This window comes from Homo sapiens, chromosome 12, assembly GCF_000001405.40.
Source record: "Homo sapiens chromosome 12, GRCh38.p14 Primary Assembly".
NCBI lineage: Eukaryota > Metazoa > Chordata > Mammalia > Primates > Hominidae > Homo > Homo sapiens.
This window is the reverse complement of record NC_000012.12, coordinates 13,436,640-13,451,881: the sequence shown is the minus strand read 5'-3', so window position 1 is coordinate 13,451,881 and position 15,242 is coordinate 13,436,640. Positions and strand designations below refer to the sequence as shown.

Here is a 15,242-nt window from a genome sequence, read left to right as displayed (position 1 = left end):
TTCTTTCCTTCAAGAAATGTTGAGCTTTGTTGGGAATGAGATAAAGGCACATGAGGCCACAGGAAGCTGTATGAGAAAGCACACTACGACATCCTCATACTGGACAGACACCAGGGGCTCTGAGCTCTTTGAAAAATGTGCGCGTCAAAAGGGATGGTTGGAAGGCAGACAGAGGACAAAGCACAGCATCCACTTTGTCACTGCTCAAGACGCCCCTGGGGGGCTGGTGCCTGCCCTCACCATCTCTCAGAGCAAGACTACACTTCACCTACATTCTGACGCATTGCCAAGGCCAAAGATATTAGTGATGGGGAACAGGGGAACCCCAAACCATCAGGAGAAGGAACAGGATGAGGGGGTCAAGAGACAGAGACAACTCACAGAATTAGGTCTCAGGCTCAGGGATGGCATCGTGTTTCTGAGGTTGGCAGGAGTGGGGGCGGGGTTCACCAGGTGCCTCTGGTGCTGAAACCTGCACTACACAGGACAGAAAACTCCCTCAGGGCCAGGGCCAGGGCCAGGGCCAGGGCCAAGATACCTCAGGGGGACCAGACATCTGTGTTTGCCTCACTCTTCATGGAAGTAGAAAACCTGTCAGGAAGCACATTAATTCCCCATAGAACACTATGATGGTATTTCATTCAGATACCCATTTGACAAACATTTATTAGATAGCTACAGGGCTTCTGTGTTCCGGGAACCAAGCTAAACTTTGGAGCCATACATCTGAATAATATGTGGCTAATTTCAAGGATCTTATAATCTACTGAAGGAGACAGGCTTACCAACAACTACCTACCTTATCTGTAAGAGCAGAATAAAATGAGCTCTACAACTAGAGAAAGGAGTGGTGCATTTTGAGTGGAGCATCCAAGGAAGGATGGAGTAGATGTGGCATTTGAATAGGGCTTGGAAGGAGAGGATTCCCATAATCCCAGAATGGGACAGGCAGTAGGGAGGGCATCCAGCTTAGGCAATCCCAGGGGCACAAATGGGCAGTGAGCCTGAGTAACCATGAGTGGGCAGTTTGGGGGGAACAGAGTCTGCACCTGGAAATGTGCTGGATGCTGAGACTAGAAAAGTGGATGGGGCCAGATCCACTGATGCCAAAAAATGTGATCTGAGTTCTCCATCCATGGAGAGCTCCCAAAGGAGCCTATGAAGTTCCTTCACTCTTTGGAAGCCCTGGACTTAGCTTGGACTTATCCCCAGCTCCTTGTTACCCACCAATGTGCCATCAGACTATGATTCTCACCAGGGCCCTGGCATGTCCTGGAGCAATTGCAACCTTTGGCTCTGGCACCCAGCTAGCCACCCTTTGCCCTTACACATGAGGCTGGAGCACCTGTTCAAGCTTTGCTGTGCACCCACCTCCTGGCTCCCAGCCTTGCTTTGCCAGCCCAATATTGGAGCAGAGAGCTCCGGATGACTGAATCCACAAGCCTCTAGGAGAGAGTAGAATAAACCCTACATACACTAGGTCACCAAGGAACCAAGCCACCACAGTGGCTCTGAAACAGCATAGTTCCAGGAGTACGAAGTCAGGATGCTGCTTAAAGAGCCTCATTGGCCCTTTGCATTGCCTTCTCCAATCCATGTGGAATTGGGCATCATGCCCAGGACAAAAAGAACATGGTAGTGAAAAGGCCAGAGGCTTTTGGACAATGAGAAGCAAAGAACAGGAAAAAAAAATGTTTTCTAGTTCTAAATTCTAAGCCTCAGGGGGGCATCATTTACATGGTATCTCTGGGAGATTTGTTCACTCAGCTAAATTAATTGAGTAATTAGTATTTGCACAGCATTTTATTGAATGTTATTTTAGATGCAGAGGTGAAGCTGATAGACCTTTCTCTCAGGAACATAGAGTGTTCAATACAAAATGAGACATAGCCTTAAGAGAATGCATGGGAAGGGCCATAACCTGTGAGGAGGAATTGATTTCTTCCAGCTTGGAGAGAGAAAGAGGCGAGGCAGAAGAAAGCTTCAGAAAGAAGGTGATATTTGAACTGGGGGAAAGCAGGGCATTGAAACACAAGTGGAATTTGGGCAGAGGCAGAAGGGGGTGGGGTGAAGAGAGCCATCCAGGCAGTGGGGACAGAGAGGTTTACAAGCCCAGCAGCTGCTTGAGCTCAGACATGCCACCTTTCATTTCAGTATCCTCCATGCCTTGCCCAGAAGTTCAATATCTAGTGAGTCAATGAATGAGGGAGTGATAAAGAAAAAGTAGTTTGATTTAGTTGAAACATAGGGAACATGAAAAGAGTAACGAGAAATAATGTTGCAAAGGCCACACCTTGAATGGATGTGGATTTTATTCTGCAGGGAAGAGAAGAGCCATTGAGAGGTGTTTAGCAGGGTTAGGACATGATGAAAGCGGTGCTTCAGGCAGATTAACCTGATACGTAAGACTGATTTGAGGGAGGCAGAGAGACCATTGGGAAGGTTACTGCTGCAGTCCAAGCAAGAGGTAATAAGCACCTGAATTAGGGCAGCAGCAATGAGAACAGAAGAGGGGACAGGTGAGGGAGAGAACAGGGAGGCAACATTGACAGCAGATGGGCTGTTGTGGGGGAGGGCGAAGCAGGGAGATTTTGAGCCTGGGTGGCAGGGAGGATGGTGATACCATTAACAAAAATAGGCAGCACAGGAGGTGGCGCTGGCTGGAGAGGGAAGATGACGAGCTCTGTTTGGCACATACTGAGATGTGGAGATACGTTCTTTTCTACCTGAACATGAATCAACTCTTTATCAGGAAAATACATTAGAGAGGTGGAGGGACTCTGCAGGCCAAGCAGCAGTGTTGTTCCATTTTTATGGACTAGGTCAAGACCCAAGCCATTTCCCGAATGCTGATTTTACAGACAACTCTATGCTTTACACAGAGAATGTTTTTGGAAAAAAAAAAAAAGTGTTGTTTTAATAATGACTTGAGATAAAAACCTGCCGGTGTTCTTCCTTTTCCTCATCATTAATGAATTAGGAGATACTCAAAACCTAATAAGAAAAAAAAAAAAGCACATAAAAGACTCATAAGCATTCTTCAGATCTTCTTTGCCAGTTGGTCACTTTCATTTTATAAAGCTAGAATTTCCAGTTTTTAAACATTACATAACAGCAGTATTTGACTATAGCTTTAACAGTATTTCAACAATAACAAAAAAAGTGTTAAATAAGCACTCTCTATGGAGTGGTACCATATGAGGCACGAGAAAAACTGAGATGAAAAGAGGAAAAAAAAAAGGTTTCCACCCTCCAGGAGGCCACAGTCTTGTAGAGGGGATAAACAAAACAATAAGTACATACAGCATGTGATATGTACCATAATAGAGATATAAGCAGGTGAGCAATGGTATTTGAGAATTATTTATTCTGTCTTCCGAGAAGTGATCTGGAAGACTTTGCAAAAGAGGGGACATTTGACAATGGATATGGAGGATTACGTTGGAACAATAATGGGAATATAACTTCTAAGCAAATATAGAAGGTAAAAAGCAAATGAAGATGATTTGGGATTTGAGGGGAAGGAAGGAGAGTAACAAGAGAGAATTAGGGGCCAGATCATGAAGGGCCATTCTGTATGTCACCTACTGAGAGAAACAGCTTTTAATTTTGATGAAGTGTTCAGGTTTGCACCTAGATGAGCCACCATGGCAGCTTTATGGAGAATGTCTTTGAGGGGTGTGAGATGAGGCCAGGACAGTGGCCAGGGGCCTTGCCACAGTCGAGGTGACAGATGGCAAAGGTGAGAGGAGATGAAGAGGCAAGAATAACAAAAAATGGTTTTAGGAAATACAAATCAATGGACTTGTTGATTAATTAGAGAGAAGGGTCTAGGATACATCTCAGATTTCTGGATGATGTTCCCACCTGTAGAGAAAGAAAATACTGGAGCGGAAATAGTTTGAGACAAGGGTTTTATGTTCAGATTTGGAAATGTTGAATTAAAGATATTTGGAGTCATCCAAGTGTAGCTGTCCAATAGGTACCTGTGTGTGTGTATGTCTGACACAGGGGGCGAGTGAAGACAGGAAGCACAGGACTGTGATCCTTGAGCGTAGGGAAATACACACAGGGCAACATGTGGTATCTTACAGTTTGGCGTCAGAAGTCACATGGAGTCTATTCAGTTTGCTGCCACACAAGTCTGCTCAGGTTCAAGTAGTTTTTTACTTGATAGAAAAGAGGAACATTTAAAAAAAAAAAAAAAAAAGCAGCATGTAGAACTGAAGATATCCTTGTGGCCAGATTTAGAAAGTACAATCTGCCCCACCTACCTTATGATCTAACAATCCCACTTCAAGGTATTTATCCAAGACAAGTGAAAGTATATGTCCACAAAAAGACATACACAAATGTGTATATCATGATTCACAGCATCCACATTCAACCCAAATATTCACCAACAGGAAAATGGATAAACAATCAAGGTATATTCATACAAGAGAATGCAACTCAGCAAGAAAAAGAAATGGATTACTGATACTCAATAACATGGATGATTCTTACATGATTCTAAGCTAAAGAATAAAAGAGTCTATATTCCATTTAAATGAAGTGCTAGAGGAAGCAAAACTAATCTTTGGTGAAAAAAATATCAGAAAAAAGTTTCCTCTGGAGGGTGGCAGTGTTGACTGGGAAAAAGCATGAGAGAATTTTCTGGAGTGATGGATATATATATTTTGATAGGGGTATGTGTTACATAGACATATGCATTTGTCAGCCTTGATGAATTATATACTTAAGATCTGTGCATTTATACTATTTTTCCAGAAAAAAAAAGTTATAACCAAAGTTGAACTCTGGCTAATTTTAGGTTTGGTTTTAGCAGTGATATGGATTAAGAATTCTGAAACTTTTCTGTTATCCTAGGTTTGAGAAAATGAGTAAATACATTGACAATAATGAGAGCCAAGTTTCTAACTGCTAGAGAGAGTTGTCATACAAAAAGGGGAGAAAAAAGTGTGCCCTCTAGAACACATGATTTTACTACGTATATATTAATCATCTTTCTATTATATATGTACATAATCTATCTCTGTCTCCAAGAAAGCCTAGAAACAATAATATACCAGTAGCACTAAGTGTGCACAGAACCCAGATTATAATTTCTAAATACCTTTCTCCATTAAAAGGGACCCAGATTCCTTGGAAAAAAGGCTGATTCCAGGCAAAGAAAGGATAAGATGAACCTGAAACATCTTGTTTCACAAGAAAGAAAGAAAATTCTCAAAAAATGATGGGGACACATCAAAAGGACACAAAGTCAGCTTGAAAGAGCTCATACTGGCCAAATCAGGGTAATTTGAACATCAAAAGAAACAGTAACTAATTTATTATAACTCATTGAATAACATAAGAATCTATTTTAAAAAAAACTCTCGAAAAACTAGCAGTAGAAGGAAATTGCCTCAATATAGTAAAGGCTACATACGAAAAACCCACAGAAAACATCATATTTTATAGTTAAAAAAAAATTTCCATCTAAGGAATTTCTAAGGAATAAGGCAAGGATGCCCACTCTTGCATTTGTATTCAGTGTAACACTGAAAGTCCTAGCCAGAAAAATTAGACAAGAAAAATAAATAAAAGGCATCCAAGGCATTCAGAACAATTTTACTTCTTCCTGTTTACAGGTAACATGATTTTACATATAGAAAATGCTAAAGATTCCATTAAAAAAACTGTTAGAATAAATGAATTCAGTACAGTTTCAGGACACAAAAATCCACATACATAAGTTGATTACATTTGTATACACTAACAATGAACTATGAAAAGGAAATCAAGAAAGCAATCCCCTTTATAATAGTACCAAGAAGAATAAAAATATGAAAAAGCTAAGGAGGTAAAGATTTGTACTGACAACAAAATACTAATGAAAGAAATTAAACAAGATACAAAGACATTCCATTTTTATGGATTGGAAAACTTAATATTGTTAAAATGTTCATACCACCCAAAGCAATCTACAAATTTAATGTAATCTCCATCAAAATCCCAATGACATCTTTTACAGAAATAGAAAAAAAAATTCTAAAATTCATATGGGACCACAAGAGACTATGAATAGCCAAAACAATCTTAAGAACAACAAAGCTGGAGATATCATACTTTCTGATTTCAAAATATATCACAAAGCTACAGTAATTAAAATGGTATGATATTGGCATAAAGACAGACATATAGACCAACGGGACAGAACAGAGCTCAGAAATAAATCCATGCATATTTGGTCAACTGATCTTTGACAAGCGTGCCAAAAACATACAATGGAAAAAAAGACAGTCTCTTAAACAAGTGGTTTGGGGGAAACTGGGTATCTACATGCAAAAGAAAAAATGAAACTAGATCATTATATCATACATGAAAATTAACTCAAAATGGATTAAAGACTTAAATATAAACTGCACCGAAACTGTAAAACTCTCAGAAAAAAATATAACACAGGGAAAAGCTTCATAACATTTGTCTTGGTGATGATTTCATGGATATAATACCAAAAACACAGGCAACTGAGGCAAAAATAAACAAATGAGACTACATCAAACAAAAAAGCTCTGCATAGTGAAGAAAATAATCAAGAATTAAGACAACCTGCAAGATGGAATAAAATATGTGTAAGACATATCTGATAAGAGGCTAATCTCCAAAATATATCAGAAACTCAATAGTAAAAAAAGTGAAACAAACCCAATTAAAAATGGGCTAAGGGTTGAATAGATATTTCTCTAAACAAGACACTCAACTGGCCAATAGATATATGAAGAAAATGTTCAATGTTGCTAATCATGAGTGAAATGCAAATCAAAACCACAATGAGATATCACCTTACATTTGTCAGGATGACTATCAAAAAAAAAGAAATAAGTAAATAAAAGACAAGTATTGGTGAGGATGTGGAGAAATTAGAACCCATACACACTGTTGATGGAAATGCAAAATGGTGTAGATACTATAGAAAACAATATGGTGGTTCCTCAAAAAATTAAAAATAGAACTACCATATGATCTGGTAATCCCATTTCTGGGTATTTATCTAAAAGAATTGAAATCAGGATCTCAAAGAGATGTTAGTACTCATGTGTTCACTGCAGAGCTATCTACAATAGCCAAGCTGTGGGAACAACCTAAAATGTCCACTCACGAATGATCAGATAAAGAAAATGTGGTATATACATGAATGAAATACTACCAGCCTAGGCTAGGCATGGTGGCTCATGCCTGTAATCCCAGCACTTTGGGAGGCTGAGGTGGGAGGATCACCTGAGGTCAAGAGTTCAAGACCAGTCTGGCCAACGTGGTGAAACCCTGTCTCACTAAAAATACAAAAATTAGCCAGGCATGGTGGCAGGTGCCTGTAATAATAGCTACTTGGGAGGCTGAGGCAGAAGAATCACTTGAACCCAGGAGGCAGAGGCTGCAGTGAGCCGAGATCACGCCATTGCACTCCAAAAAAAAAAAAAAAAAAAAAAAAGGTGGGGGGTCGGAATAATACCAGACCTTAAAAAGGGAAGGCTATTCTGCAATATGTGACAATATGAATGAACTTTGTGGGCATTATGCTAAGCGAAACCAGTCACAGGAAGACAAATATTGCATAATTCCACTTATATGAGATATCTAAAACAGCCAAACTCATAAAATCACAGAGTGGAATAGTGGTTGCAGGGAGAGGGATATGGGAAGTTACTACTCAATGGAAATAAAGTTTCAGTTAAGCAAGATAAATAAATTTTAGAGGTTTGCTTAACACATTATATCTATAGTTAACAATAATGCATTGCACACTTAAAAATTTAAGAGGGTAGATCTCATGTTGAGTGTTATCACAATAAAATTTTAAAAATTATAAGTTCTTACAGATATAAATAAATAGATTAAATGTATTTAAAGAGCCCAACAAGTAAATAGGGAAGCAATGAAGGACTTGGAAAGTCATCAACGGGTGTTAAAACTAGTAAGAGAAAGTCTCTTGAAAGACAGGATATCTCTTATCCTGAAACTGTTTTTTCATACATTACTTATTAATTGCAAAGGAAGAAAATGTGACTTAACAGAAGTGAAAACTGGCAGATGCTACCTTACTCAAATAAGCAAAGTTAACATCACCAATATTGGGACAAACTGACATTATGAGCCTGCCAAATGATATTTCTGCCAAGAATTCCCAGCCTGAATGTACTCCTGAGGAAATATCAAACTCTGCAGAGCCAGCAGCCCCTCCCAGGCCACTGTGAAGGGGAAACAGCTGGGAGTCAGCTTGGTCTGCCTGACCACTGTGCTGCTCCAAACCCTTCATTGGCTCCCACTTGCCCTGGGAAAAAGACATGAGCTTCCTTATCAGCATTAATTACAGTTACATGTCATTGAGCCTCTCTGTGTGCCTGGTAGTATGAGAAAAATTCAAGGACATTGTGGCATTTCACAGTATTATATTTGCCCACTTTACAAACAGGGAAGTGGAATGCTTTTGCCAACAACTCCCCAGCAGAAAGATCTGTGGGCTTCGGTGTGTGGTCCTCTTTCCTGTCCTCGATGGCATCTGGCCTTTGTTGAAGAACCAGTAAGGATTTAGGACTAGAATGCTGGCATTGGCATCTTTCTAGATGGGTAAACTGGACAAAGTCCTCAGGCTTCATTTTGCTTATCTGTCAAGTAGCAATGACAACAACACTTTCCCTATTTGAGTGGCAGGACTATTAAGGAGCATAATAATTGCAAAGCAAAAAGTGGGCTGGGAGGATAACAAGCATTCCTAGCTTGGTCCCTGGCACATGGCAGGCATCAGTAAAGGCTGGAACAGCAAAGCAGTGTTTATATTATTAAAAATATGAAAAGGACCAAATGTCCAATTTTAGAGGATTGGTTAAATAAACAGAGTACATTTTCACAATGACAAAAAACAAAAGACAAGCACCTCTGACTTTGGATTTCAATATTAACAGCATTTACTAGGCCCCACTGTTTGTTCTGAGGTCTGAACCCAGGATTCTCCCCTTAAGGAGGGCATGTGCACACAGATGACTAGAGGCCTCTCCTCTCACCTCTTTCCAGTTTGTACTTCTCCCTGTAACAAATGCACATTCCAGGTTTCCTCTACCTAGAATGCCACCCCTTGTCCCTAGCTAATTCCCACTTGTTTTCTGCCTTACCTCACTTCTTCCAGGAAGACTTTCCCAATTTCCCTTTCTTTGCCTCTAGCCAATCTGGACTCTCAACAACCCTACCCAAGGGAATGTCATTGCTCCATTTAAAAGAAAAAAGGAAATAGCAGACAAACCCAAGTACTGCGACTTTCTACAAAATAACTAGCCAGTACTCTGAAACAATGTCAGGGTTGAGAAAGTCAAAAAGCAGTGGAACTGTTTCAAATTAAAGACACTAAAGAGGCATGACAACTAAATGCAAAATATAATCCTGGGTAAACCTTGAACTAGAAAAATATTATAAAAAATATTGAGAAAATGGATAATATTTGAATATGTGAATTAACTACAACTATTACATCAATGTCAAATTTCCTGATTTTGATTATTATACTGGGGTTATGTAAGAGAATATTCTTGTTCTTTCTTTGGAAATACACGGTGAAGGGTCAAGTTGTAAAGTGGGATGATGCCTCAACTTACTCACCAATGGTTTAGAGAACACAACCATACACATACAGGGAAAGAGAGATGAGGAGGGAGAAGTGGAAAGAGAAGGGGAAGAAAATGATAAAACGGTTTTGGTGCAGGGCATATGGCAACTTTTCTTTGGAGTTTGCATGTAAACTTTTCTGTAAAGTTTATATACAAATAAGTCTAAACCAAGACTGGGAAGAAAAAGGAAATAAGTTCTAGAAAGGTGTAAGAGTGGATGGAACAGAGTATGAAAAATAATTGAATGATTGGAGTACTCCTAGGTTTCTAATAGGAAAACCAGGTGAATGTGAGTTTCTAATGGAAGAGGATCCACCAGATGAGGAAGGTGGAAGGGAGTGAGATAATGAGGTCACTGGAAACAGTATTGAATTTGATTGCTAGCAGAGCATTCGGGTTGAGCTATGCAGCAGGCGGGTGGATGGGTTGGTCTGGGGCTCTTTCATACAGAAACACTATGCCCACTTAACTCCTGAGGGTGGGAAGAAGAGAGAAGCCCCAGTTCGCACACTTGTTTTATTCCAGTCGCTGCCTAAACATGCCTGACTTGGTCATTCCAGGCCGTGGTCCTGAGAGTCGTCTGTGATCCTGGGCCTCTGTATCTAGTAATTACTTTTTGAAATCAGGAAGAGTTTGAAGAAGATAAGGACTTGAGTGACGGGAGAGGAGTGGGTGCTGGTTCTTACAACAGATGCAGGGAGGAGCACGTTTCCCCAGAATGTAGCAGCATGGCCTCTCCCAGCACAGCCATGCCAGGGAGACCTCCCGTCCCAACCTACCCACTCCCCCACTAAACCCCAAAATATTAGATAACCTAAGAGCTCAAAGTCCTTCAGAGCAACCAAGAGATTCTGACCAGCAATAGGAGTTTTTTTCAGATCCCCTGAACTTCAAAAAACTTCACAGAACTCCACTCACCTGAAGAACTCCACTCACCAAAGGCTTTTATCCTCACCATCTATACCCAGCTCACTTATGTTGAGCCCCACTTAGTTGCTGAATTAGCCTCAGCAGTGTCACACCGACATACACTGTCTCCAATTCAACATTTATTGTTTTTTTGTTTGTTTTTTTACTACCTACCAACACACAGGCTATTTTTCAGCTAATTGTTTACTTAGCTCCTGGGTCAGGCCCAGAACTCAGCAACACTGCCTAGCTCCAACCCGTTCTAGTGCTCTTAAAAAGCATTAGGAAATACTTCCAAGGTACAAAAATTATACAAACAATAAGATTGTTGTCTAAAGCCATACCACCCTGAACACGCCTGATCTCGTCTGACCTCGGAAGCTAAGCAGGGTTCAGCCCTGGTTAGTACTTGGATGGGAGACAAAGAATAACATCGTTTCTACATACATTAGTTCTATACTACCACATGACAAAGTTCCAAAAACTTAGCAGTTTAGAACAATACTTGTTTACTAGCTCACAATTCTGTGCGTCAGAAGTTCAGGCCCAGTGTGATTGGGTTCTCTGTTCAGGGAAACACACAAATCCAAGTATCGGCCAGACTTACTCACTGTTCATCTCATCGGTGGCTCAGCGTCCTTTTCCAGGCTTGTTTGGGTTAACAGAATTCAGTTCTTTGCTATTGTAGGACCAAGGTCCCTGTTTCCTTGCTGGCTGTCAACTGGGACTACCCTCAGCTTACAGAGGCCACGCTCAGCTCCTTGCCACATGGACCCCTTCATTCCAGCAAGAAACAAAAACTCTCCTTCACAGAATCCCTCGCATGCTTCAAATCTCTCTCACCAGGAAAAGTCCCACCCCTTTTAAAAGGGCTCAGCTGATTGTGTTAGGCCCATCTAGGATAATCTTATCTTAAGGCCTATCTTTTGGAACCTTAATTACATCTGCAAAATCCCTTCACAGCAGAAGCTCCACCAGTATTGATTGAATAACTGGGAGAAGCTGTGAGTACCCCAGGTGTGAGAATCTTGAGGACTCTTTTAGAAATCTGCCTACTACTCCCTATGTACCCACCATTCAGCTTGTGAAAGGAACTATTCTAATAACCTGTGTCCCTAGGTAGCCTCCCTTTGCCATCATGGGGCATTTATCATCATGCATTCATATGGTTTGGCTCTGTGTCCCCACCCAATCTCATCTCAAATTGTAATCCTCACGTGCTGAGGGAGGGACTTGGTGGGAGGTGATTGGATCATGGGGGTGGTTTCCCTTATGTTGTTCTTATGATAGTGAGGGAGTTCTCACAAGAGCTGATGGTTTTAAGTAGGGCACATCCTCCCTATCTCTCTCTCTCTCTCCTGCCACCTTCTGAAGTAGGTACTTGCTTTTCCTTTGCCTTCCACCATGATTGTAAGTTTCCTGAGGCCTCCCCAGCCATGCAGAACTGTGAGTCAAATAAACTTCTTTCCTTTATAAATCACCCAGCCTCAGGGAGTATCTCTATAGCAGTGTGATAATGGACTAATACACGAAATTGGTACCAGGATAGTGGGGTACCACTATAAAAATAACCTGAAAATGTGGAAGTGACTTTGGAACTGGGTAACAGGCAGAGGTTGGAACTGTTTGGAGGGCTCAGAAGGTAGGAAGATGTGGGAAAGTTTGAAACTTCCTAGAGACTTGTTGAATGGTTTTGACCAAAATGCTGATAGTGATATGGACAGTGAAGTCCTGGCTGAGGTGGTCCCAGATGGAGATGAGGAACTTACAGGGAGCTGGAGTAAAGGTCACTCAAATTATGCTTTAGCAAAGAGACTGGCAGCATTTTGCCCCTGCCCTAGAGATCTGTGGAGCTTTGAACTTGAGAGAGATGATTTAGTGTATCTGTGTAAGAAGTTTCTAAGCAGCAGAGCATTTAAGAGGTGACTTGGCTTATTCTGAAAGTGTGCTGTTAAATGCATTCACAAAAAGATGGTTTGAATTGGGAACTTATGTTCAAAAGGGAAGCAGAGCACAAAGGTTTGGAAAATGTGCAGTCTGACCATGTGGTAGAAAAGAAAACCCATTTTCTGGGGAGGAATTCAAGCTGGCTGCAGAAGTTTGCATAAGTAATGAGGAGCTTATGTCTTTGTTAATAGCCAAGAAAATGGGGAAAATGTCTCCAAGGCATGTCGGAGACCTTCACCACAGACCCTCCCTCACAGGCCCAAAGGTCTAGGTGGGAAAAATGGTTTCATGGGCCAGGCCCAGGGCCCCACTGCTCTGTGAAGCTTTGGGACTTGGTGCCCTGCATCCCAGCTGCTCCAGCTTCAGCTGTAGCTAAAAGGGGCCAACATACAGCTTGGGCCATCGCTTCAGAGGGTACAAGCCCCAAGACTTGGCAGATTCTACATGGCTTTGGGCCTGTGGGTGTGCAGAAGACAAGAGTTGAGCTTCAGGAACATCTGCCTAGATTTCAGAGGGTGTGTGGAAATGCCTGGATGTCCAGGCAGAAGTCTGCTGCGGGGGCAGGGCGCTAATGAAGAGCCTCTGCTAGGACAGTATGGAAGGGAAATGTGGGGTTGGAGCCCCCACACAGAGTCCCCACTGGGCTACTACCTAGGGGAGCTGTGAGAAGAGGGCCACCATCCTTCAGACCCCAGAAAGGTAGATCCATCAACAGCTTGCACCCTGTGCCTGGAAAAGCCTCAGGCACTCGACATCAGCCCATGAAAGCAGCTGCAGGTGCTGTGCCCTGAACAGTCCAGGGGCGGAGCTGCCCAAAGCCGTGTCAGCCCACCCCTTGCATCAGCATGCCCTGGATGTGAGACATGGAGTCAAAGGAGATTTTGGAGCTTTAAGATTTAATGGGTACCTAGCTGTGTTTCCACTATCTGCCCTCAGAATTATATTCACGAGATTTATCTATGTTCATCTGTGCAGCTTTATTTCATTTATTTTCACTGATGCATAGTATTTCCTTGTATGACTATATAATTATCTATTCACTCTTCTATTAATGAATATATAGTTTTCAACTTCTTGTGATTACAAATGATGCCGATACAAACATTTCTGTATATGTTTCTTATGTGTATACCTAGGAGAAGAGTTGATGGGCCACAGGGTATGAACATCTTCAATTTTACTGGGTATCACCAAGTTGCTCTCCAAAGTAGTTGCACCAATTTACACACCCATGCCAGCTGCTATTTATTAGTAATATAAATGGTCAATGTATGCATTCATTATGCACCAAATAATAACTTCTGTACATACATTATTGTATTTCATTATCACAAAATTATGAGTGAGGGATGATTGTTATCCCTATTTTACAGATGAGAACACTGAGACTTAGAAGAAGTATCTTTCCCAAAGTCACAAAGTTAGTGACAGAGCCGGGATTCGAATCCATCAACTTGAATCCAGAGAAAATGTTCTGCATCACTGTACAACACTGACTCCTTTTTCTCCTTTGAAAACAAGGCAAGATGCAAGAGGAAAAGGAAAGACTGGATGGAAATCAGATGTGTGTCCCTCCCCCTCTTCCCCCCTCCCCCCACAAAGCTTTTCTCATCCAGACATTCTTGGGACTCCATCTACTGGAAGATGAGGTATAAAATCTTATTGCGTAGGAAGAAAAGTTCAAATATGGGACTGTTCGGTGTAAATGGAGCTACTGACCAGAGTCACGCCTACAAAGACACATGATGCACTGTTCTGAAGTCAAGTCAATCTCAGCTTGAATTTATACTCCACTGCTAGCCAGATGATTTTTTCAGAAAGTCCTTTACGTGGTCCAATACTCAGTTTCCTCATCTATTAAACAGGATAATGATAATACCTACTGAACAAGTTGAGAGTCGGTTGAAATAAATGACGACATCTTGCACTGAGCCTGGCATCTGATGGGCACTCAGTAAATGTTGGCAAGTTGAATCCTTGGAAGTGGGAGATTTCAGAACCTTAAACGTTCTATTCAGTCTTTGAGATCGGAAGAACCCAAGCATCAAGGGTGTGTGTAGCCATTCACAGGAGGAATAGTCCCAGCACTGTCAGCAGGTCCCAGGGGGGTTATCACAAGGCTCCAGGCAGCAGTTACGTAATTCGGGGAAAGTGTGAGTCAGTCATATGGCACATGTGGCCATGGAACTCTGGGCAAGGAGGTGAAATACCATGTGCTGTTAGCCCCAATCTGTGATCCACATCACTCTGACACAAAGAGACCAGATCCTCCAACACAGGAGAAAAGCCATGGATGTGGTTGTGCCTTATCAGGGGGGAAGGGATTAAAAAGCAGCAAGAGCCAAAAGATAAAGTAATTGAAATTTACTTTAGCCGAAGTCAGAGATATGCCGACAGCATCCACGAGGCAGGCAGAGTTCAACTTACAAGGTGGATTCTGAAAGACATGACTCAGAAATGCACACATGCAGCTTTGTCCACTTACTCTGCCAACAACCTCTCCTAAAAGTCAGGGTAGGCTGGGGGCTAGATCAGGCTAACTCCCCTGCAGCAGTTCTGTGCTTAGTGCCACCAAGTCCAAGATAACCAAGCCTTGATCCTGGCTCTCGGGGACCTTGGCTCCGGCTCTGTCCGGCTTCCTCTGCAATGGCATTCCACGGCTATGTGCTCCTTGTTCCAGTACCCTGGGTCTATTTATTCCCCAGGACTCCTCTCCCTCCTGGAAGAGTCGAATCTCAGAAATAA

The 15,242-nt window shown here is 41.7% G+C and overlaps 1 pseudogene, besides 2 other annotated features; it reads left to right on the top strand.

Annotated features, from left to right (window-relative positions):
* RNA5SP353 (RNA, 5S ribosomal pseudogene 353) lies at positions 10,881-10,998 on the top strand (annotated as a pseudogene).
* Positions 12,578-13,099: an enhancer, noted in NCBI's record as "H3K27ac-H3K4me1 hESC enhancer chr12:13591717-13592238 (GRCh37/hg19 assembly coordinates)". NCBI's record gives its function as "activates a minimal SCP1, AML or CMV promoter by ChIP-STARR-seq in naive H9 embryonic stem cells {active_cell/tissue: H9 hESC(naive)}" and the evidence as "EXISTENCE:reporter gene assay evidence [ECO:0000049][PMID:30033119]".
* Positions 13,100-13,621: an enhancer, noted in NCBI's record as "H3K27ac-H3K4me1 hESC enhancer chr12:13591195-13591716 (GRCh37/hg19 assembly coordinates)". NCBI's record gives its function as "activates a minimal SCP1, AML or CMV promoter by ChIP-STARR-seq in naive H9 embryonic stem cells {active_cell/tissue: H9 hESC(naive)}" and the evidence as "EXISTENCE:reporter gene assay evidence [ECO:0000049][PMID:30033119]".